Raw genomic sequence first — 25,141 nt, forward strand, 5'->3', positions numbered from 1 at the left:
ATTGGTGTTACTTTATCAAATGTTTTATGTGTGTCTATTTTTAATAATGGTAAATAATTAATAGATTTCCTGATGTTGACCACCTTTTTGCAATTTTGACATAAACCTTACTTTATTATAGTCACTCATTGTTTTAACATACTGTTTGATTTGGATGACTAATATTTTACTTAGGATTTTTGTTTATAAGTTAAATAGGCCTATACTTTTTCTAAACTTTTTAATTGTTCTTATCTGATTTTGGAATCCAGGTTAATATAGCCTCATAAAGTGTGTTTGTCTTCTTGTTCTACTTTCTGAAGTCTCTTCTGTGAGACAGCAGTGTATAGAACCCAAGAGTGAAAACATCCAGTCCATATATATATATATATATATATATATATATATTTTTTTTTTTTTTTTTTTTTTTTTTTTTTTGTAGTTATCTTCATGGTCATCCTCATCATTTTGGCAGGAGACCAGTCTAGTTGTAATTTCAGGTCCTTTTCTGGTTACTAGTTTCTTAAATTTTTGTTTCTTCTAGAACAAATTTTTAGCCTTCATATTATTCTAGAAATTTATCTAGAATTTGAAGGTTTGAGGCTTCTTTGAAATAAGCCAGTCGATTGTGGCATTCAGGCAGAGAAGGTGGATCTATAATTAGAGAATAGAGTAGTGGTAGTAAGAGAATGAGAGCTAAAAAAGAGTCAGCTAATGCAGTCAGAAAGAAGAATGCTAGAATTTTACTATAGTAGAGCTACAATAATTTCTGTGGTTATGGTTTCAAAGAGAAGGTATGGGAAGGAGTAACCAAATAAGGTGGACATTTGAAAATTATGATGTATTGTATTTTACAAAGATAGCCCCACCCCAATGCCTCTCATCTAAAATCCTCTCCAACAATGTGACCTTGCCACTGTACCATTAAGAGGTGACGTCTCTGTCCCATGCCCCTGAATCTGAGCCTGTCATGTGGCTGCTTTGAATAAGAGAATGTGGTGGAAGTAATGCAGTGCTAGTTCTGGCATAGCCTTAATTGGCCTGACAACTTCCATTTCTTGCCTCTTGGTGGCAGCCACCATGTGAGAGTTGTGACTACCTTGAGACCACCGGGCTATAAGAAGCTGCCCCTCCGTGTAGAGAGGCCCTGGAAGATGAGATGCCACTTGAAGACAGAGAGAGGGCAAGGAACAGTGAAGCACCAAATGTGTAAGAAAAGAGTTCACCTGGAAAATGGAAGAGAGAAGACAAAATTACCAATATCGGAATGGGAGAGGTGAAATTACCACAGATGCTACAGATACTAAAAGGATTGTGAAGAGAAATTATAAACAAGGCTATGCCAATTGACAATTTAGATGAAATGGACATATTTCCTGAAAGACACATACTACCAAAGCTCACTTAAGAAGAAGTAGATAACTTGGGCTATCTATATGTATTAGAGAAAATGAATTTGTAATTTAAAGCCTTTCCCACCAAAAATGACAACAAAAGAAAAACCCCAAGCTCAGATGGCTTCACTATTGAATTCCAAACATTTAAGGAAGAAATACCCATTTTGCACAAAATATTCCAAAATTGAAGTGAAAGAGATACTTCCCAACTCATTCTGTGAGGCCAGCATTTCCCTGGTTCCAAAACCAGATGAAGACACCACAAGAAAATAAAACTACATGTTAAAATGTGTCATGAACATAGATCCAAAAGTTCTAGCAAAACTTTAGCAAACCAAATACAGCATCATGACCAAGTAGGGGCTATCCCAGGAATTCCAAGCTAAATGAAACATTTGAAAAATCAATATAATTCACCATATTAACAAACTAAAAAAGACACAGAAAAGGCATTTTGCAAAATCCAACATGTGTTCCTCATAAAAACTCATAGCAAAATAGAAATAGAAGGAAACCTTCTCAACCTGATAAAGGAAATCTATGAAAAATCTACAGGTAATGTCATTCTTAACAGGGAAGGACTGAATGTGTTTGCCTAAGATCAGGAACAAAACAAGATTGTCTGCTCTCCCCACTTCTGTTCAACATTGTATTGGAAGTTCTAGCCAGTGCTATAAGGTCCTAAGAAATCAGTGGTATCCATATTGAAAAGGAAAAAGTAAAACTGTCTTTATTTGCAGACATACTTATCTATGTAGGAAATGAGATGGATATTATACAAAACTATGAGAATGAATGAATGATTTTAGCATTGTGGCAAAATATAAGATCCAAAATGTAAAATACAAAATCAGTTATATTTTTTACACCTGCAACAAGCAGTTGAAATTGAAATGTGTAAAGCAATACACTGAAAGCTGTATATTGAAAACTGTAACACATTGCCTAGAGAAATTAAAGAACTAAATAAATGGAGAGATACATCATGGTCACTGGTTGGAAAACTCATTATTGTCAAGATACCAGTTTTCACCAGATTGATCTATAGACTCAATGCAATCCTAATCAAAATCTCAACAGGATTTTTTGGAGAAATTGACAAACTGATTCCAAAATCCATATGGAAATGCAAAGGACATAGAATAGGTAAAACAACTTTCAAAAGGAAGAACAAAGTAAAAGGCTAATACTACCTGATTTCAAGATAGTAATTAAGAAAGTATGATTTTGGCATAAAGATAAGTATACAAACAAGTGATTCCTTATTATTTAGAGTGGTTTTAGGTTTATAGGAAAATTGAGTGGTAGATACAGAATTTCCCATATACCCAGTGCCCTCACGTATGCACAGCCTCCCCATCATCAGCATCTCCCACTCTAGTGCTATATTCATTACAATCGAAGACACATCATCATCACCCAAAGCCCACAGTTTACAATGGGGCTCACTCTTGATGCTGCACATTGTCTGGCTTTGGACAAATGTATAATGACCTGTATCCACCATCACAGTGTGAGACCAGAGTAGTTTCACTGCCCTAAAAATCCTCTGTACTCTGCCTGTTCACCCCCTCTCACCTCCTAACCTCTACTCTGCCTGTTCACCCCTCTCACCTCTTAACCTCTGTATTCTGCCTGTTCACCCCTCTCACCTCCTAACCTCTGTACTCTGCCTGTTCACCCCTCTCACCTCCTAACCTCTGTACTCTGCCTGTTCACCCCTCTCACCTCCTAACCTCTGGCAACAGCTAATCTTCTTAATGTCTTTGTAGTTTTGCCTTTTCCAGAATGTGATCTAGTTGGAATCATACAGTATGTAGCCTTTTCAGATTGGCTTTTTACACATAGTAATTTACATTCAAGATTCTTTGATGCCTTTTCATGGCTTGATAGCTCATTTTTTTTAAGTGCTAAATAATAGTTTGGATGTGCCACAGTTTATTCATTCACTTCCTGAAGGTTCATTGCTTCCACGCTTTGGCAATTACAAATAAAGCAGCTATAAATATCTGTGTGCAGGTTTTTTTGTGGACATGAGTTTTCAAGTCCTTTGGGTAAGTACCAAGGAGCACGAATGCTGGGTAGTATGGTGAGGATATGTTGAGTTTTGTCAGAAACTGCCAAACTGTCCTTCAAAGTGGCTGCACTGTTTTGCATTCCCACCAACAATGAATGTTGTCCCACATTGTCACCAGTATTCAGTGTTGTCAGCAGTTCTGGTTTTGGGCCATTCTAATACACATGTAGTAGTATCTCGTTTTAATTTGCAGATTCCTAATGACATATGATGTGGAGCATCTTTTCATGTGTTTATTTGCCATCTGTATATCTTCTTGAATGACGTGTCTGTTAAATTTTTTTGGCCAATTTTTAATCAGGTTGTTCATTTTCTTATTGTTGAGTTTAGAGAGTTTTTTGTATATTTGGAAGAGTTCTTCATAGATTTATCAGATATGTCTTTTGCAAATATTTTCTCCTAGTCTGTGGCTTGTCTTTTCACTCCCTTGTCTTTCACAGAGTAGAACTTTTTAATTTTAATAAAGTCTAGCAAATCAGTTATTTCTGTCATAGATTGTGCCTTTGATGTTACATCTGAAAAGTCATCACCAAACCCAAGATCATCTAGATTTTCTTCTGTGTTATCTTCTAGGAATTTTATAGTTTTGCATTTTACATTTAGGTTGTGACCTACTTTGAGTTAATTTTTGTGAAGGGTGTAAAACCTATGCCTAGATTCTTTTTTTTTTTTTCTGCATGTTTATGTCCATTGGTTCTAGCACTGTTTGTAGAAAATACTACCTTTTGTCCATTTCATTGTCTTTGCTCTTTTGTCAAAGATCAGTTGACTGTATTTATGTAGGTCTGTTTCTAGACTTTTTATTCTGTCCCATTGATCTATTTGTGTATTCTTTCACCAATACCATGCTGTCCTGATTACTCTAGTATAGTAAGTCTTTAAGTCAGGTAATGTTAGTATTACAGCTTCATTATATTCCTTCAATACTGTGTTTGCTCTTCTGGATTTCCCTTTTTATATCAGCCTTAGGAACAGTTCATCAATATCTACAAAATAACTTGTTGAAATATTGATTGGGATTGTGTTGAATCTCTATGTCAAGTTGGACAGAACCAACGCTGAGTCTTCCTAGCCATAAATATGGAATATCCATTTATTTAGTTCTTTGATTTCTTTCTTTGGAATTTTATAGTTTTACTTATACAGATCTTGTACATACTTTGTCAAATTTATACCTAAATATTTCAGTTTTGGGGGTGTTAGTGTAAATGATGTTGTGTTTTTAATTTCCAATTCTGCTGTTCATTGCTGGTCACAGTTAATTTTTGACCAAGGCACAAAGGCAATTCAGTGGAGAAAGAATAGTCTTTTCAACAGTGATGCTGAAATAAGTGGATATCCCTGTGCAGAAAAAAAAAAAGCAAAAAAAATCAAGCAACCAAACAAATGGACTTCACTTATATTTTGCACCTTATACAAAATGAATTTGTAATGGGCCATAGACCTAAATGCATAAAAATTCTGGAAACAGGAGATAATGTTTGTGACATTGAGTTAGGCAAGTTTTTAGCTACACTAAAAAAGACTTTCCATAAAAGGAAAAAAACTGTCAAAGTTTAAAAATTACTTCTTTCAAAAAGCACTGTTTAAACAGTGAGAAATAAACTGACAAACAGGGAGAAAATGTTTGCAAATCATATATCTAATAAACGATTGGTATCCACAATCCACTGTTACTCTCAAAACGCAACAAGGGGAAAATAGTTTTTAAAATGGGCAAAATGTTTGAATGGACACTTCACCAAAAAAAGATACACAAATGTGAAATAAGCACATGAAAAGCTGGTCAACACCATTAGTCACTGATGAAATGCAAAGGAGATGCCACAACACATCTCTTGGAGTGGCTGAAATTAAAAAGACTGGCCAAACCAAATGTTGACAGTGATATGGAGGAACTGGTACTGTCATCCACTGTGGCTAGGTATGTAAATAGAACAATCACTTTTAAAGACAGTTTGACACAGCCAGGCACGGTGGCTCATGCTTTTAATTCCAGCACTTTGGGCCAAGGCAGATGGATCGCTTGAGGTCAGGAGTTCGAAACCAGCCTGGCCAACATGACGAAACCCCATCTCTACTAAAAATACAAGTATTAGCCAGGCATGGAATCCCGTCTACTCTGGAGGTTGAGGCAGAAGAATCACTCAAACCCAGGAGGCGGAGGTTGCAGTGAGCTGAGATTGCGCCACTGCACTCCAGCTTGGGCATCAGAATAAGACTCAAAACAAAACAAAGAGAGTTTGACAGTTCCTTAAAAAGTTACAGATATGGCCAGGCGTGGTGGCTCACGCCTGTAATCCCAACTCTTTGGGAGGCCGAGGCGGGTGGATCACAAGGTCAGGAGTTCAAAACCAGCCTGGCCAGTATGGTGAAACCCTGTCTCTACTAAAAATACAAAAATTAGCCGGGCATGGTGGCACACACCTGTAGTCCCAGCTACTCAGGAGGCTGAGGCAGGAGTATCGCTTAAACCTGGGAGGTAGAGGTTGTGGTGAGCTGAGATCACGCCACTGCGCTCCAGCCTGGGGAACAGAGCAAGACTCTGTCTCAAAAAAAAAAAAAAAAAGTTACAGATATGCCTGCCATGTAGCCTAGCCATTTCACTCCTAGTGGTTTACCAAAGAGAAATGAAAGCGTATGTCCACGCAGACTTGTAAATGAATGTTTGTAGGACTTTCTTTGTAATAGACAAAATAGTCAAAAACTGGAAGCAATCCACGCAGCCATCAACCGGTAAATAGATAGAACAGACGGTGGCATATCCATGCAGTGGAGTACTACTGGGTGAAAAAAAGAACAGTGATACACACTACAGCATAGAGAAATCTCAAAATAATTACGCAGAGTGAAAGAAGCCAGATGAAAAAGAGGAATTACCATACAGTCCCATTTGTATATATCTCGGGAGAATGCAGACTAAGCTGCAGTGGCAGAAAGCAGGTCAGTTATTGCCTAGTGGGGACAGAACGAGATGTAAGGAGACAGGAGGTTTGGGGAGTGAGGTCACATGGGTACATACAAATGTCAAAACTTACCACAGTGTCCCTTTAAGCGTGTGCAGTTTATTGTATGTCAGTTGTACCGCAGTAACTCCAGGGGAAGAAATCACATGAGAAAATGCTTATATAAGTAAATGACAGAAAGCACCACAACTATATGAATTAGAAAAATTCAAATAAGTTAGAAGGATGCAAACAGTAAAGTTAAGAGCAGAAATTAGTTTTGTAAGCAACAAAGATGTAGCAGTGAGCAGTAACAAAGCCTCTAAGATGTCAGTACTTAGAGCAGGCAGGTTGATTAAAGTCAACAGAACCGGTGAGGCTGATCAAGAAGACAGAAGGCACTACCAAAACGTATCTGGAATGAAAACACGGATATCCTTCAGGGTCCAGCAGAGATTGCTACAGTGGAGAGTCCTAGACACTTCAGCACTGATAGGTTTTAAAACTGAGACAAAATAGAACATTTTCTAGAAAAGTGTACATTGCTAAAAGTGACTTAAGCATATGCAGAAAATTGGAATAGAACTCTGCCTATTAAATTAAATCACACACACACACACACACACACATACACACACACACAGAGAATAAATTAAGAAAATAGAAGGAAGGAGAGTCTGTGGAGAGAGGGGAAGTGGTTGGCCCAGACAACATTGAGTGAGTTCTAGACATCGTTTGTGGGATGATGATCCCCATTTTATGTAATATTTTCCAAGGATAGAAAAGTAGGGAAGAATTCTGCAGCTCATTGTGTGGCTCATAACTCAAAGGTTACTACAACCTTTATCTCCACACCAGACAAGGACAGTAAAGGAAAACAAAACAACAACATGTCATGGAAATACACATTTATACACTTACATTATCTTTAAAAATTTAGCAAGCCAAATTCTATTTTATATTTTTTAAAGCTTCATTAATTCCTCTTAAATCTATCATTTCAATGTGATTTTAATAAAAATCTTATTTTTTCATAGTACTTAAAAGTTGAATCCCAACATGGCAATAGAAAACTAACAATATAAAACCATAGTAATCAAAAGTGAGTGGTAATTTTCGGCAGAACAGTGGCACAACATACAATCTGAAAAGACCTGCAGACCCATGGGGCAGCACTGGTGATCAGGCCTGCCTGTGTTTAAAAGAAAATGTAAACTAGATGGAGGCTTGTCTCTCTCACAGAAAATTAAGTCCAAAAATAGGTGGCCCAGAGAAGCTCTGGTGGCTCCATGGTCTGGAGCCTGATCCCTCTTTGTCCCGCACCATCTAAGAGGTCTCTTCTGAGTTCAGGGTCTTCATAATCCCTAGAGCTGACGAAATCCCTGAGTACCCAGTCTGAATTCCAGGCACAGGGACACTTCAGCCAGCTCAGCTCATCATCCAGAGCTCAGGCACAGGGCTCCACTCGCTATGGGGCAGCTGGGGTGGCCGGGCTTACACACTCAGCCACCTGGAAGAGGACTGGGGCTCTGTCATGCAGGAGGAAGGGAAGAAAGGCAGGGCTGCAGCCAGCAGTCTGTGCTAGACGTGGTGCTCGCAGAAGACATGGACAAAGTAGCCAACGACCAGTCCTGGAGAAACAGGCTGTCTGTGCAGAGAAGCAGCCCACCATACACTATCCAAAGCACATGCTAGGACAGTTAAGGACCTGAGTATGCAGAGCAGTGCCTGGCAGTTGCAGGGTTCTTCAGTAAGGCACAGAAAACCCCAATTATAAAGAAAAGTGAATAAATTTGACTAAATTAAAATTTCAGGAATTATTTACTATAACCCACATATTTGGAAAAGAAAAGCCACATATTGGGAAGAGATTTCTGATGTCTCATGTGACCAACAAAGGATTCGACTTGGTTACAGGCTGACTCCTGCACCTGCATAGCACAAAGCCATCCATTTGGAGGATCCTTGCTGGGGCGTGGGGATGTCACACACATAAATGCAGGAGTCGGGGCTCATGGACCTGAACCCTTCAGATCCAAGCCTTTTATTATATAGTAATTAGACTTTACCTCAAGGAAGAAACAAACACAAGCTGATAGAACCTAGCATGGGTGGGCCAAGAAATAGCAAATGGCCAGAAAAGTTGCCCGGAAAGAGCCCTGGTGGCCAAAATGATGCCAGTTGGCTGCAGCTGTGTCCCTGCTCTGGGAGAGTTGAGAGTGGGGAGCAGCCACCTTGGAGGGCCAGGTGGATGGGGCTGGGTGAGGCTGAACTGTTCCCCTTACACAGGACACAGTGACAGGCAGAGGGCCCAGGGCCATGGTAGGTTGGGGGTGGGGTGGGAGCCACAGCACTGCCATTGGAGGTCACCAGGGTGTCCATCCCACTGGCAGGCAGTTTGGCGGTGAATGCAGCCCCAGAGAGTTGTCCACAAGACCATGGGGTGAGAGGCTCCCATGGGGTTGGCCACCCCACGGTGATTATGTTGGCGCGGGAGCCGTGGGAAGGAACGAGAGTCTTGGTTCAGATGACCTCGGCCTGTGTCCTCAGCTGCACAGAGCTGTGGGAACAAACAAGACCATCCAGAGGAGGACCAGCAGCCTGTCTATTCAGAGTCGGCTATGGCAAGGGGGCCAGAGCACTGTGTTGGGCAGACTCAAAGGCACGCACAGGAAGGGGGATGGCTTTATTGTAGGGAAAGGGGGAGGCTTTGGGTATGTTCTGATGGAGGTAGGGGAAGCCAAGATGGGCTCTGCAGAAGGTGGCCTCCCGTGCAGCTGCTTGAAGAACCCAGGGGCATCTCTGGCTGGTCCTGGGTTGAAAGCAGGAAGGAATGGGCGTGGGGCAACCACTAGGAAGCTGTAGTCCTTCCTGAAAGCCTGGCTGACTGGGCCGAGTGCTGTGGAGGCTGTGGTTTGGGTCAGAGTAGTTCTCCTGCCCTGTGTGGTCTGGCCGACGTCTGTCTGCAGCTCAGTCTCTCAGGCCGGGCCCTTTACTGAATCAGGGGACAGATCAGATGATAGCAGTCTGGACTCTGTTCCTAAAGAAATGGCACAAGGAAAATGAAAGACGAAGAAGGCCAGGCACAGATGCCTAGACCCGGGTGCACTGAGCCGAGGCCATGCTGTGAGAGTGGGGACACCTGTAGGTTCCTTGGGTGTCAGCCAAACACACTTCATGGCACGCTGTGAGTGGGCACCTCCCATGGGGTCCGCAGGACAGGTGGCTGTGGACATGTAGTGGGTATCTCTAGGAGACGTCCTGCCTGCAGTCTTGGCAGAGCTTTACTTGTTTTATTTGCATGGACGCTGACTGTGTCTGACACCCTCTCGCTGGCGCTAGGCGATTTCATCCTGATGAAGTTTGTCCCAGCTGTCCTTTGTGAGGTGCATTAGTGGAAGCTGGTGCCACACCATTTCCCACCCAGGGCCTCTGCAGAGCTGTAGACACTCTTGGAATTCTCTTTCAAAGCATACGTTCAGAATTAATGACTCCTAACAAATGAAGGTTTCTGCAGGATCACTGCTTTAAAGTTTGCCCAGAAGACCTAATTCAGCTTAAAGATGCTGAGTCCATAGAGGCTTCTAATCTGTAGAAGAAAGGGGCCTGTGTTTCTTAGAGGTATTGAATCATTTCATGCTTTTTCTGTAAGTTAGGGAAACCTTCATTTTCATTTCCATTTTGGAAGGTGGAAGGAATGTGTCATAGGAATTGGAGGATTTGTCCATTCGACACATATTTATTGATCTTCTGTATGTGCCAGGTACATATTGTAAGTGCTGGGATAGGTCAGTAAAGAAAGCAGACAGAAACCTCTTCCTGCACTGGGGTAGGATGGGAGCAGAGAGTCCAACATGGATCTGTAAATTATGTGGAAGTCAGAATGGGGTTGGAGGGCTTGGGCGGCAGGGAAGGGAGACCTCAGGCAGCAGGTAAGCAAAAGGCTTGAGTGGCTGGGAAGGGAGGCCTCCCTCAGAACGGCTTTTGTACAGGGACCTAAAGTGGGGGCAGCCATGGCTGCCTCTGGGATTGGTGTTCCAGCTGGTGGACCTGTGGACAGAAGCTTTGGGCAAGCAGCAAGGAGGTCCCTGAGGGTGGCCAGAAGCTTGGGGACAGGTGCAGGGTGAGAGGTGACAGGGCTGGGGGATCTGGCCGGAGGACTGCTGGCATTTTCTTGGGAGCCACTGGACTGTTTTGTGCCAGGGAATGGCCTGTGCTGGCCCACGTGTTCACAGGGGTCAAGAGGAGAGGGCTTGGGGCAGGCACCGGGTTCCCCTTAGGAGAGGGCGTCATGACACAGGCAGGGGGGCATGACTTGACCCATGGCGTAGCAGTGGCAGTGGCCAGAAGTCAGGTCCTATATCTCTTCCAAAAGTGGATCCCAGGTGATCTGCTGATGACTGCTGTGACAGGGATGAGCAGGGTGAGGGTGACCCCAGAGTGGGGACTGAGCAGCTGGAGGTCAGTGCTGGGGCATATCCAGAATGAGGCGTAAACAGGTGAGGTTGGCGGCTGTTTGTCATGTGCTGCCTACCCCACTTGCCAGCTCTGCCCTGCTAGGTTCTTGAGGGGGCATGGAGTGGCCCTGAGACTTCAGGCCTCCAAATACAACTGTGGGCATTGTCAGGCAGAGGCTGTGCCACGGAGTGAGTGACAGAGGGGGGATATATGGAGGCTGGTTCCAGTCTGGGCGTCAGCCTCCTCCAGTCTCAAGTCCTGCCACATCCGCAGATCTAAGCCCGAATGTTTCTCATCTGCCCTGGCCTCCCTGTCCCCACACTGCCCAGTCGACCTTCATTTCTGACCTGTACTGCTGAGCGTCTTCCCCTGCAGCGTGTGCTGAGCATCTTCCCCTGCAGTGCGTGCCACACTGTGCTGAGCGTCTAACCCTGCAGCGCGTGCCACACTGTGCTGAGCATCTTCCCCTGCAGCCTGTGCCACACTGTGCTGAGCGTCTTCCCCTGCAGCCTGTGCCACACTGTGCTGAGCGTCTTCCCCTGAAGCGCATGCCACACTGTGCTGAGCGTCTAACCCTGCAGCGCGTGCCACACTGTGCTGAGCGTCTTCCCTTGCAGCCTGTGCCACACTGTGCTGAGCGTCTTCCCCTGCAGCGTGTGCCACACTGCTGAGCGTGTAACCCTGCAGCGCGTGCCACACTGCTGACGCCACTTCGTAAAATGCGCATGCGCCAGCCCCTCCCCTGAGACACTCCATGAAATTAGATTGGGCCACTCCAGAGGCCTCTCTCTGCCATCTGAATACCGCCCCCTCCCTCATCAAGCTCCTGGCTGCTTAGGGGCCCCTGCCCTGCCCCTCTGCCCTGGCTGCCCTTGCTGCTGTCCTGTGTCCCCTGCCCCCCAGGCTGGGACATGCGTTCCTCCCTCAGCCTCACAGCCCCCTCCTTTGGGGCTAAGCTTCAGGGTCACCCCAGGAGCATTCCTTCAAGTACATACACCCCTTTTTCTTTTTCACAGAACCCCGCCCTTTCTCCCAAATTGATTTTACCTCAATTTATAGTTCTTCATTTGTCTTTTTATTGCATTATTGTTTAGCTCCTGAGCTGTATCTCCCCCCAGGTACTTCACACCCTGTGTATGTAGCGCCCAGCAAAGGGTGCTCCAGACACAGCAACTCCCAGGCTGAGCAGAGCATCTCTGCTCTTTGTGGGGCTCAGAAAGAGAGAACAGGCATATTGTGAAGGCATGTGTGTGTTGGAGCTGATAATGAATACCTAAGTTGCCATTGGCATGCATCATTGGTGTCATGCATGTCAGCTGCACACGTGCAGTCGCTGTAAATCCCCACACCCTACCTGCCTGTGCATTCAGTGCCATTGTCACTTGCAGAGAACAGGAAATAAGCAGTTTAATGTTTTGAAGGACCTCTTGAAGAGCTGTCCTTTTTTAAGAAGTATAGTGGTCCCCGCTTCTCCGTAGATGTGTCTCAAGACCCCCAGTAGACTCCTGAAACTGTAGATAGTACTGAACCCTGTACGTGCTGGTATTTTTCCTGTAAGTACCTTCCTATATAAAGTTTAATTTATGATTAGACACAGTAAGAAATTAACAGTCACTAATAATAAAATAAGAGTGACTTGAACACAAGCACAGTGATGCTGTGGCCATCAATCTTATCACCAAGGCGACTGCTAATGGGCCAGCGGCATCTGCAACGTGGATGGTTCACATCCCGGGCTGGACAGCACAAGATCGCACCACACTCCTCAGAACGGCATACAGTTGAAAGTCTGGAAGTGTTTATTTCTGGAATTTTTCATTTAATATCTTCAGATCACGGTTGACAGTGAGTAACTGAAACCTCTGAAAGTGAAACCTCAGATAAGGGGACCTGCTATAATTAAATATGTAATTTCCTTTCTGATATTTCCCACAGATTTCTCACAAGAAACATATGTGGCTCATTGATTGTGGGAAAACGTAATGGTAAAAACAAACACAGTGTAAAATAACTTTTAAGTAGATTTTTGTCTTTGTGATCGTAAGCTGCTAAATCAGTCTGTTAACTTTTTGTTGCACTCCTTCGTCAGTTGGTTGGGATCCTGCGGAATTGCCAGTGCATCCCTGTAACCACGCAGGCTTGGGCTGGGCTGCGTCGACACTGAGTCCGAGCTCCCTGAAGACTGTGCTTTCTTCTCCCTCCAGCTGGAACGTGGTGGGCATCCAGGGATCCCTGCTCAGCATTTTCGTGGAGCCCATTTACTTCTCGAGCATCATCCTGGGCAGCCTTTACCACGGGGACCACCTTTCCAGGGCCATGTACCAGCGGATCTCCAACATAGAGGACCTGCCACCTCTCTACACCCTCAACAAGCCTTTGCTCAGTGGCAAGTATCTCTAGAGTGTGCTGATTTAATCTCTGTCTTGATTTTGCAATGTTTTCATCCTCATGAATGAAAAAAACACCACCTGAGCTGCTCTGTGGCTATCAAAAGAACATCAGAGTCCTTCTAAAGAGACCCAAGGTGATGTTTCTGAGGCTCTCCGGGCCTTGTCTCTAGGGCCTTTTAAGTGAGTCTCTCTGTAAGATTAATCTCCTTTACCAATCACAAACCTAGCCATTCATAGAAGAATTGATGGGTTCACACCTGTCATCCCAACACTTTGGGAGGCCAAGGCCTAGTGGATTGCTTGAGCCCAGAAGTTCAAGACCAGCCTGAGAAAAATGGCAAAACCCCATCTCTACAAAAAATACAAAAAAATCAGCCAGATGAGGTGGGGCATGCCTGTGGTCCCAGCTACTTGGGAGGCTGAGGTGGGAGGATCACCTGAGCCCAGGAGGTCAAGGTTGCAGTAAGCCAAGATTGTACCACTGCACTCCAGCCTGGACAACAGAGTGAGACCCTGTCTTTAAAAGAAAGAAAGAAAGAAAGAAAGAAATGAAAAATGAAAAGAATGAAATTATGACTGGGCTGGGCACCTGTCTGTTTTCCTCTCACTCAGGCACTGTATTCATTCCTGTCTCAGCAGCAGAGACTCAACAGACACTGAAAATTATGTCAGCATTGGCTTTCCCAGACTAACCCTGAGCCAGGTCTCCGGGACGTTTACGCTGTCTTAGAGCCACCAGGGTGTCCACAGCGGTGAGCTGCCTAGAGCCTGCCCTGGGCTCCCTGGAGAGGCCCTGTTGGCTCCGAGAGATGGTGACAGGTGGAACCAGGGGTGCCAATGGCAGGCAGAGGCTGTCTCCCTGGTGTCTGCACCTACCCTCGATTCCCTTCATTGCTGGTTTTCTTTTTTCTTTTTTTAGAATTTCAGTGGCTAACAGTAAAGTGAACAGGAGCTTTTGAATTCAAAGGTCCTAACTTCTAAGCTCACCTTTATTTAAAAGGACACAGTTAAGGTATTTTTATCTTTTTAAACATATAATTTCACTACTTTTTTAAAAGCTCAAAACTAAAACCATAATCCTAACCTGAAACACGTTTATTTTGGGGTGTGTGTGTGCTTGTGTTTGTGCTGCCTTGTTTTCTAGTGCCTGGCAACTAGCACGCCTTTAATTTGAGAAAAAGCAGTGTGGAATTTTATTTGAAAGCATGCCTGTCAGAGCACATGAAGGAGGCAGGGATGGGGAAAAACAGTTGTCTTTAATTAAATTTTACAGTTCCGTAACTTAACCATTGTGTTTTAAGAAAAACAAAATAGATAAAACTTGATGGTAGGTAGGTTGAAATTGTAGCATCAATGTCTTTTGAAGTATTTTGTTGTGTATTGGTGTGTGAATTTCTCATGATTCAGAAAATTTCCCTCTTTGCTCTCTGTCTTCTGTACTTGAGCAAAGAGTGCTTTAATTTTAGCTGTCACTCATCTTTTATATGCATAGATACTTAAAACATTGCATGTGGAATATGGGACACATAGGTGATACTCAAAAATAGTTGTTAATTAGGGCCTTGTTGAATAGCGCTGTCTAAGCAATATCTCATCCGTAACTAAAATCTGCAAAGACAGAATCATTTTGCTAAAGAAATTTTCTAAGATATTGAAAGTAGAGCTCATTTATAAAAGTCAGTGTATTTTTATCATATTTCACTTATGTGAAAAGCATCTATATCTGTTAAAAGACCTTGAAAGATAGTGTCTGCAAGATAGAGACTTCAAAGTTACTGATGCTGCTGTTTATCCTTTCCTCCTCAATATCTTCTCTGGTCTTTTTTTTTTTTTTTTTTTTTTTTTTTTTTTGAGACAGAGTCTTGCTCTATTGCCCAGGCTGGAGTGCAGTGGCGTGATCTTGGCTCACTGCAGCCTCCACTTCCCAGGTTCAAGCAATTGTCCTGCCTCAGCCTCCCAAGTAGCTGGGATTACAGGCGTGTGCCACCACAGCCAGCTAATTTTTGTATTTTTAGTAGAGACGGGGTTTCACCATGTTGACCAGGCTGGTCTTGAATTCCTGACCTCAGGTGATCTGTCCACCTCAGCCTCTCAAAGTGCTAGGATTACAGGCGTGAGCCACCGTGCCTGGCCTCCGTTATCTCTAATCTTGATAGCCTAAAGCACATTACCAAACCCCTCCCCTGGTCCCCGCTGCAGGGGGCTGTGCCGAGCTGATTCAGCAGCAGCAGAGAGAGCCTGGGTTGGAGCCATGAGGCTGCCCCTGCGTCAGCTCTGCCTCCTTGGAAGCTTCTGTGTCTCGGGTTCTTCATACGCCCAGTGGCAGGGATGGACCAGGCACCCCTTGCAATCCTTCTGGACAAATGTGCCACTGTCCTATGAAAATAAAAGGACACCACTCAAGCTCCAGGAGGCAGAACCTTAACTCAAATCTGAGCCAATAAACAATGTCACTCTAGCACCAAAGTCTATTTCAAAATGCAAACTATTTGAAATATCTTATTTTTGGTAAATGCTTTATTTTGGAAATGGGTTTTTGTTGTTGTTTCCCTGAAGAGAGTTCAGATCAGCAAAGCAAGTAGCTTTGGAGAAGACACCTTTAGACGAGGACTCCTGTGAATCAGCAGGACAGCGTAGCAGGACATTAGGTGAGCCACAGGGTGGAGCAGGATGGGAGGGCAGAGGCTTCTGCTTCAGAATTGAAGCCGAAGGCAAGTAATGCTGTGGGTGTTACTGGAGACAAAAGGAACCAAACAAGAAAAATCTGGAGAGGCAAATGTTGATGTCTTAATAGATTTGGGAGGTCACACTCTTTAAAAATGGGTCCCAAAGCAAAGCTCTCAAAACTTCATTAAAAGAAAAGTCTTACATTTGACAAGTGACCTGGACAGAGGAGCTACCAGGACATTGGCCCCCTTGCTGTGCACCTGCACTGTGCATCACAGCTCACGTCGTGTTTGTTACACTTTGTCACCTCACATTTTATTATAAAGGTCATTCCCGTGTTAAAAAGAGAGCGCGGTATGACAGCGCCTAGTGAATTGTAGTGTCTTTAGGGAGGAACAAAAATGGACATAAATGAATACAAAGAAAAGATTACCTGAAACTGGGAGCAAATCAAAGTAAAAATGTAGGGATAGGGTGTTGCTTTCTTTTAAAAAGATAATGCTGTCAGGATTAAAGTGAGAAGAATTTAATTTTCATTTCAGCCTGAACACTAGTTTTACTTTCAGAAAGGTTCTTGGTGCCAAGCTGTGACACTTTTGCCTTTGTGGGTATACACACTTGGTACCCTTGCTTAGCACTGTGGAAGAGGAAGTCTCTCGAGCTTTCTCAGACTTTCTCTCAAATGAGTTTCACATCCAGCACTTGCAAGTTTCAGGACAATTCCAGCTTCTTATTTATGTCCATTGATCTCCTGAGTGTGAGCTCCTCAGCTGGCCCAGTTTGTTGTCCAACGCTCACTAAGATAAACCAAGAAGAAGGAGCAGGGTGCCCAAATGCCGCATGCGATGGCTCTGGGGACCTTGTTGACAGACAGCCTGCTCCGGGGTTTGCAGACAAGGCTTCCTATCCTGCTGGTTTTCATGTTGAATGTTGGCACGAAACGTTAACAAACAAGGCTACATGATGGGGTAGGGTCCTTGTGAAGAGCTTGCATTTAGGTATCTCTGGGAGGACAGCACAGGGACCCAAGGGGGCTGGCAGCAGGCCCAGGTGTGTGGCAGGAAGAAGGCAGGTGCCTGCTGAGCTGCTATCCACCCGAGACCATTTGACATTATGGGCAGGAAGAGCAAGGGAAGCTGGTTTAATGAGGCCCTGGCTGGAGTGAGAGAGAAGGAACATCACTGTGAGAGTGTGGAAAGTGTGTGTGTGTATGTGTGCGTGTGTGTGTGTGTGAGTGCATGTGAGTGTGTGCATGAGTGCGTGTGTGTATGAGTGTGTGTGCATGTGTGTGTGCACGCTCACATGAGTGTATGAGAGAGAGAGTGTGTGTGTGTGTGTATGCGTATTCTCCAGGTAAGAGCAGGCACCGGGGTTGTGGGAAAGAGGTGTCAGTAATGTGAGTTTCCTCCTTGCCCTGGTTTCTAGGAGGAGTGAACGTGCCATGAGTCATTGTAGAAGAGAACGACCACCAAGCTTGGCTCCAAGTACAGAATCATTCTTTTCATCTGACAATTTTTCTTTCCATTTTACTTTCTGTTTTCCTCCCCTTTGCTTTTGCTGGACCGATTAAATTGTCTTTCCCCTTTCTTCCGACTGGTGGGAAGTTCTAAATCTTATTTCTATTCTGACCAGTGGTTACCCCAATTTTTTAAAACAAATATGTTTAAATCACTTTGAAAAAATGTTGGCATCAAGAATTAATATTTGTAAAGATCCAAACTTGGGAAAAGCTGAAATATTGGGCTCATTTTTATTCCACACTCTTCCCATCCTCATCTTCCTAGATTCTGATGACATCATCTTGAGTTTTAGAAACTCATTTTATCGTGCTTTTTTTTTAAAAGCCTTTCGTAATGAGTCACATAGCCTCATGATCAACAATTGTTTAGATGAAGCCGTAAGAGCTCCTGGTTTCTCTTCTAACCAGTTTTCTGTAGCCAGTGCTCCTGCCCTTAACTCCACATCCAGATTTATTTTTCACTTTGCTGGAATATATCCTTAATTGGGGTGACAGGGTGATTTCTTGGTTGGTTGTTTTTGTTTGGTTTTTGGAGAAAAGTCCTGTGTGGGTGGGGCCCTGGATCTTGATGTTACCTGGCCCTTGCCTGTGTGCCAGGTGGACTGGGGACTGTGGATGTCTGGGCTCTGCCCTACCCCAAGGACACGTCAAGACCTCCATGCCACCCCTCCATGGTCACCCTTTGTCACAGAGCCAGTTTGAGTTTCTTTCCTTTCTAGAAGGTACCTCCTTGTTTTCTCTCCTGTAGCGTTACATTTATCTATTTTCCCTAAAATTCAGGAATTTCAACAGATTAAGCCTAGGTGTGTGGTTAGTTTGTTTGAGTTTCTTTCCTACTTACTACCCTGAACCCTCTGATCTGGATTGTTGAGTCTTCACTTCTGAGAAGTTTCCTTCTGTCCTGTCACTTCTGCTAGAAGCATCTTCTCTGCCCTCTCTGTTGTCCCTGAAAATGCTGCTGAGCAGAACTCACAGGCCTGTGACCAGTGTCTCTCCTCTCATCTGATGTGCTTTTTTGACTGTACTGCATTCTAAGAGAATGCCTGACTTCTGTCACCATCTCAGGAGTGAACTGTTTTCCCCGCGGAGCAGGCTCCCCGGGAGCTCATGCCTGGCCCACTTCCCTGCACCACGGCCGCCACACGGCTCCGTCTCTTGCTCTAGTTCTCCTTTCTGGGAGAGTGACTCCATTTGGGGCTCGTCATCTCTGTTGGGTTTTCAGTGGCTGCATTTGGGGTTCCTCATGTCTGTTGGGTTTTCAGTTCTCCTTTTGCATACTGAGAGAACAACTTTCTAGTGATTGGAACTGTCTAGAAAAGTTTCCTGAAAGGAATTGAGCTCCCCTGACTGGAAGAGTTCAGGTTGGAATTGGATGGACACTGTTGTTACGGACACGGTGATAGGGGATCTGGCTGAAAGGATTAACCCACGTGATCTCCAGGTGTCTTCTAAACTCGAGATCCTACGGAGTGCAGTTTGCTTGTTTTTAAATTCTCTGTGCAGATGACTGTAATGCTACAGTACAGTTACCATTACCTATTGTATCAATGACACTTTTGAAGGTTTTTAAAAATAATAATAGTTACACTTCACTGACTGCCGTCCTCAGGCCATCTCCCGGGCATGCATGTGCTCAAGTCAGGAGCCAGATTCTTACATGCTTCCCTGAATCCACGCCGCAGCCCTGTGGGCCGGGCCTGCCGTCACCCTTCACAGTGGAAGCAGCCGCAGCCGGCAGACACCACGAGGCTTGCAGCTCACAGCCATATTCCACTGTCCCTAGGACAAGTACAGCTTGAACCCACATCCCACCTTTCACCACCCCAAGCCTTGCCTCCCATGGACGAAGACAGTGCACGAGAGTGCCTTGGGGCTCCCCCAGGAGCTGCTTCAGGAAAAGGAGGAGCTGGCAGGATCACTGTGAGCCTCTCAGCCCCACTCCCCCGGCTGCTCCCCTTCATCTACATCCAGTTAGCATCTCCTGCCCATGCAGCTCTCTGGACATGAGCCCACCTCACTCAGGACCACAGCTCTGAGGCTCCTTCCACAGCTGGTGTTCTAAAACCCTGAGGTCTCCTTTGAGAAAGGACTGTTATGTGGCCAGAGGTCCTCTGTGTAAAGCCCTCAGCACCTGGCTGGGGTTAGTGGACAACCAGGACAAGGCACTTCCGAGCTGGCAGAGAAAGCCTGAGAGCAGCCCTGGGGAGTGGGCTGGAAGGGTCAGGAGAACCCAGCCATCTTGCTCTGTACGGATTCTAATGGCTTGTGTTTATTTCTCTGTCAGCTCAAGGGCTGCCCTTAAGACGATCACAATGAAAGGCTCAAAGGTGCTCTGCTCTCAGCTTAAATGGCAGGTTGGTTTTGGACCCAGAGGGGCTCAGAGGCTCCCTCCTGTGTTGCATGGCCTGTATCATCCTCACTGGGGGTGCTGTGCACAGTTTTCCTTATACTGTAACTTATGCCCAGGTCTTGACTCTTTCTTATTTGCAGAATAAAGGCCACTTTCAGTCGAGATTGTAAGTACACATTTTCCTTGATCCACTAATGAATGTCTGATAGTTTCTATAACATGAACCCATAATAACCCTAAAATATCCATTAATCATTATGTATATTATTCATTTTTGATTACCCTACTGTATGAGGAACCTATTGGAAAATACCTTTAGGGTAGAAATAAGAAAAAACATCAATGCCAGCTCTTCTGAGTTTTTTAATTGTAGCAGTTATTAGGCCAATTCACAGTTTCTCTGTGTTTTTGCTTTAAAAGTTCTGATTCAGCACACTTAATTTACAACAACAGAGGGATTCTCGTTACCAGCCAAGTTGTTCTTGCTTTTATTGGTTTCTGTACCGCGGCCTGGGATTAACTCATTACCCTAGTTCCCTCTTTGCAGGCTGGAAAGATAAGCATCTCACTCACGTCAGCCCCCACACTGCACTGGCCTCAGGGACTCGTAGACGTATGCGCTTATGACCATTTAGGGGCTTTCTGCCCCAGAAAAAGCGTATGGTTAGTATTGGAAGCTCGGGCTATTTTCTTTTTTCCTTGTTTCCTCCATTTTTGTTTCAAGATGGGACTTGATTTAACTTAAAATATAAAAAATATTTTGTACTATTGGGATCTTATATTTTTTGTTAATCATTTAGTTTTAGTGAAAAATATTGTAATTCTAAGGTTTAAGTATCATTCAACAGTAATCCTTTATTTTGATGAGAAGTAGTGGAATTGCAAAGGAAGATAATATAAGCGTTATCCATTTGTTTATGAAAGATTCAATTCCATTATGGTCAGAGATTCCCCAGCAGTTTAAATGGACACCCTCTCTTCTAGCCATTCCCCCACAAAAGAAATCCTTCCTGATTCTGTCTGCTTGAAGGGTGTGACCTTGAACATGCTCCTGGGGCTGCCGCCTCTACAGAGTGACAGCTCAGGGACCTGCAGGAACTCAGAACATGCAGGCAGGTGCTGGAGGTAGGGCAGGTGTGCTGGTAAGATGGATGACCTCAGTTCCACTGGCAAAACTGTGCCACAGGAGAAACCTGAGCGTGTGGTAAAAACCACCCCAGCAGCAATCAGTAAATGCAGGAACAGTGACCTCAGGAAGACATGAGGCTCCTACCAGTGCCTGTGATGAGGCCAGCCCAGCCCTGTGTGTGGTTAGGGCACACCTGACCACCCCGACAACCAGGGAAGGACGGTGTTGGAGCTCTGAGTTCTTGGCATGAGGACATGATCTTGGCTGATTGTTTTCCTTCAGACCTTCTGCAGAATTGAATGCACATCAAAGAAACAAGCAGAAGAAACCATGCCAGCTACTTGTATTGAATAAAAGTATTTTACTTACAAACTTGGATTATCAAACTTATGAGGAAAATAACACAAAAGAGAAAGATCTATATGAGAAAACAGAACAACTGAAAGAAACAATTTAGAAAACAAGAGAAATAAGTAATGATAAATCTTATTAGTATGTTATTTAGTAAGTGCTGAAATCAAATATTAATTTGAAGGTCTAGAAAATATTCAGTATTTTTTGAGTGTGCAGTGGGCATGGTTCTGGGTGTTGGGATTTTGCAGTGCACAGGACAAACAAAACCTCTTCCTCATGGAGCTTTTGCTCTGATGAGGGCAGGGGGATGGTGAAGTCAGATAAGTCTCAGATAACTTGGAACAGAAAGGCAGAATTATGAGACAGTGGCCAGGGTGCTGCCCAAAACCTACCCAATCAGAATCTCAGAGGTAGGATTCAATGTGCTTATTGTTTAAAGCTTCATATCTGATTCTACTGAACATATCTGCTTAAGAACTACAAAATATATATTGGCTGTCTCTGGGTTTTATAGCTTTAATTTTCTAAGGTTTGTGTGAATTTTTGGAATTGTCCATAGTGAGCAAATGTTATTTTTTTAATGAGAACAATTTTTTTTATTTTTAAATTATCTTTAGTGTCTTTTCACAACTTTATTGAGGTATAATTGGCATATGATAAACTGCATATTTAAAGTATACAATTTGATACATTTTGGCCTATGTTTAGGTCTGTGCAACCATCACCACAATAAAGATAATGAGTATACTTAATCCACTTCAAAATTGTCTTAGTACTCCTTCATAATCCCTCCCTCTCCCCGATCCCCATTCCCATCCCCAGTATGTACCATCTGTCTATATAGATGAGTTTGCATTTTCTGGGATTTTACATAAATGTCATCATAAGGTTTGCACCGTTTTGGTCTAGCTTATTTCACTCAGTTTAATCACTTGGAGATTGATCTATGTTGTTGGGTTTATCCATAGTTCATTCCTTTTCATTGCTAAGTAGCATTGCACTGGGTGGATAAACCACAATTTGTTTTTCCCTTGAAATATTGATGGATATTTAGGTTGTCTCCAGTCTTTTAATATTATAAAGCTGCTGAGAACATTTCTGTACAAATCTTTGGGCGCTTACTTCCATTTCTCTTTAGTAGATACCTAGGAGTGGAATGGCTGAATCCTAAGATAGGTGTATGTTGAACTTTTTAGAAAACTATTAACCTGTTTTCCAAAATGGTTGTACCATTTTCACATTACCACCACTAGTGTGCGGGAGTTGTAGTTCTGTCACTTATATGCCGGCACGCAGTACGAGCGGTTGCTTTAGAAATTTTAGCAGGTGTTTAGTGATATTCCATTGTGCTTTTAATTTGCATTGCTCTGATGACTAATGAAGTTGAATGCCCTTTCACATGCTGATTTGCCATCCCTGTGCCTTCTTCAATAAACTGTTCAAAACTTATGCACATTTTTACTGAGTTGTTTAACATCTTATTACTGGGTTTTGAGAGTTATTTATATTTTCTAGATACAGATCCTTTATCAGATATATGATTTGAAAAATGCTTTCTCCCAATCAGTGGCTTGTCTTTTAATTCTCTTCATAGTGTCTTACGCAAACCACATAATTTTAATTTTGACAAAATCTAATTTATAGAAATTTTCTTTGATGGATCATGCTTTTGATATTATGTCTAAGAAATATTTGCCTAAGTCAGTACTACAAAGATTTCTTCTTATATTCTTGGAAATTTTACAGTTGCAGTTTTTACATTTAAGACTATATTTCACTTGAGTTCATGTTTGTGTAGGGTATGAAGGATGAACTGAAGTTCATTTTTTGGCATGTAAGATATCCAGTTGATTTAGCACCATTTAGTGAAAGGTTCCTCATTTCTTCATGGAATTGCCTTGTGCCCTTGTCAAAAATCAGCTGGCATGTATATATACATGTGGGTCTGTTTCTGGACTCTGTTGTTTGCCTTTAATCTCTTTGTCTAAAGGCCAGTATTACATTGTCATGATTACTATAGTTTTATTATAAGTTTTGAGGTCAGGTAGAGTTAGTCTTCCAACTTTGTACTTTTTCAAAGTTGTCTTGGCTGCTTAGGTCCTTTTTGTATTTCCATAGCAATTTTATAGTCCACTCATCAGTTCTACATCCTTATTGCACTGGTTAGGACCTCCAGTACAATGTTGAGTAGAAGTGATGACAGCAGACATCCTTCTCTTACATGTCATCTTGGGGGAACACATTCAGTCTTTCACCATTAGGTATGATGTTGGCTGTAGGATTTTTTATTGCTGTTTTTTGTTTTAGAGACAAGGTCTCACTCTTTCACCCAGGCTGGAGTGCAGTAACGTGATCATAGCTCATTGTAACCTGAAACTCCTGGGCCCAAGTGATCCTCCTGTCTCAGCCTCCTGAGTAGCTGGGACTACAGGTGCATGCCACCATGCCTGGTTCATTTTTAAATTTTTTATAGAGACAATGTCTTCCTATGTTGCCCAGATTGGTCTTGAACTCCTGGCCTCAAGCAACCCGCCTGCCTCAGTCTCCCAAAGTGCTGAGATTATAGGAATGATCCACCATATCTGGCTGCTGTAGGTTTTTTACAGATGTCTTTATCAGCTCAAGACATTTTTTTTTTCTATTTATAGCTTACTCAGCGTTTTTAATCAAGAATGTATGCTGGATTTTGTCTGATGCTTTTTTTCTGCTCTTAGATGACTGTTGTCATTGCAGTGACTTAGGCCTATAGTCCCAGCTACTTGGGAACTAAGGCAGGAGGATCACTTGAGCCCTGGAGTTTGAGGCCATCCTGGGCAATGTAGTGAGACCCCATCTGAAACAACAACAACAAAAAATGAGATGAGCATTTAGTTCATTTTTCAGTTTGCTAGTGGTGACGTTAAAAAAAAATTAAACCAACTTTGCATCTTGGGATAAACGTTATATGGTTATTATGTGCTATTCTTTTTATATATTGTTGGATTCAGTTTGCTAAAATTTCATTTAGAATTTTTGTATTTATATTTGTCTGTAGGGATATTGGGCTATCATTTTAGTTTAATGTCTTTGTCAGGCATAAAATGAGTTGGGGTGCATTTCTTTCTCTTCAGTTTTCTGGAAGAGTTTGTTTGGATTTGGTATTATTTCTTTAAATATATGGTTAAATTCACCAGTGAAACCATTGGGCCTGAAGTTTGCTTTGTAAGAAAATTCTAACTACAATTTATTTTTCTATAATAGATTTAGGGCTATTCATGTTATCTGTTTTTATCTTTTTTCTTGAGTAAGCTTCAGTAATTTGTCTTTCAGGGAATTTGTCCATTTCATCTAATTTGTCTAATATATTGGCATAAAAGCATTCAGAATATTCATTTTAATATCTGTGATATCTCTAATGATATCGTCTTATCCCTTATATTGATGATTTGTATCTTCTCTTGGTTGTTTTTTTCTGATCAGTCTAGCTGGAAGTTTTTCAATTCTGTTTGTCTCTAAGTGCCAACTTTTAGGTTCAGTGATTTTTGTCTTTTGTTTTATATTTCAATAATTTTTACTCTGATTTTAATTATTTCTTTTTTTTCCGCTTACCTGGTGTTTCAATTGCCCATCTTTTTGTAGTTTTTTAAGGTGCTAGTTGAGGTCATTGTTTTAAGACCCTTTTTACTGCTTTTGTAGCATTTAAAAATTATGATATGTTTTCATTTTCACTTATATTAAAATACTTTGTCCCTTGGGTTATTTAGAAGTCTGCTATTTAGTTTCAAAATACTAGGGATTTTACAGAGATCTTTCTGTTGTTGGTTTTTTAGTTTCATTTAATGACTTCAGTCCTTTTAAATTTATTAGACTTGGTTTTATGGACCAGAATATGATCTA

General features: G+C 42.8%; 1 protein-coding gene across 28 annotated transcripts in view, besides 2 other annotated features; it reads left to right on the plus strand.

Moving 5' to 3' along the window:
* ADARB1 (adenosine deaminase RNA specific B1) overlaps nt 1–25,141 on the plus strand; it is a 151,986-nt gene that overhangs the window by 116,917 nt on the left and 9,928 nt on the right. For 26 of the 28 annotated variants that reach the window (NR_027673.1, NR_073200.2, NR_027674.2 and 23 more), the window contains one exon: nt 13,061–13,242. Coding sequence is in view for 18 of the 28 variants with exons in the window: in XM_017028251.2 (XP_016883740.1) it covers nt 13,061–13,242 (182 nt within the window). In the remaining 10 variants the exon portion in view is untranslated. Of the gene's footprint in view, nt 1–13,060; nt 13,243–14,165; nt 14,259–15,802; nt 15,895–25,141 lie in introns of all 28 variants that reach the window. The other 2 variants (XR_001754792.3, XR_001754791.3) reach the window with 2 other exon arrangements.
* Nucleotides 11,333–11,950: an enhancer, noted in NCBI's record as "H3K27ac-H3K4me1 hESC enhancer chr21:46622742-46623359 (GRCh37/hg19 assembly coordinates)". NCBI's record gives its function as "activates a minimal SCP1, AML or CMV promoter by ChIP-STARR-seq in naive H9 embryonic stem cells {active_cell/tissue: H9 hESC(naive)}" and the evidence as "EXISTENCE:reporter gene assay evidence [ECO:0000049][PMID:30033119]".
* Nucleotides 15,466–15,965: an enhancer, noted in NCBI's record as "H3K4me1 hESC enhancer chr21:46626875-46627374 (GRCh37/hg19 assembly coordinates)". NCBI's record gives its function as "activates a minimal SCP1, AML or CMV promoter by ChIP-STARR-seq in naive H9 embryonic stem cells {active_cell/tissue: H9 hESC(naive)}" and the evidence as "EXISTENCE:reporter gene assay evidence [ECO:0000049][PMID:30033119]".

This window comes from Homo sapiens, chromosome 21 (assembly GCF_000001405.40).
Source record: "Homo sapiens chromosome 21, GRCh38.p14 Primary Assembly".
NCBI classification, from domain to species: domain Eukaryota; kingdom Metazoa; phylum Chordata; class Mammalia; order Primates; family Hominidae; genus Homo; species Homo sapiens.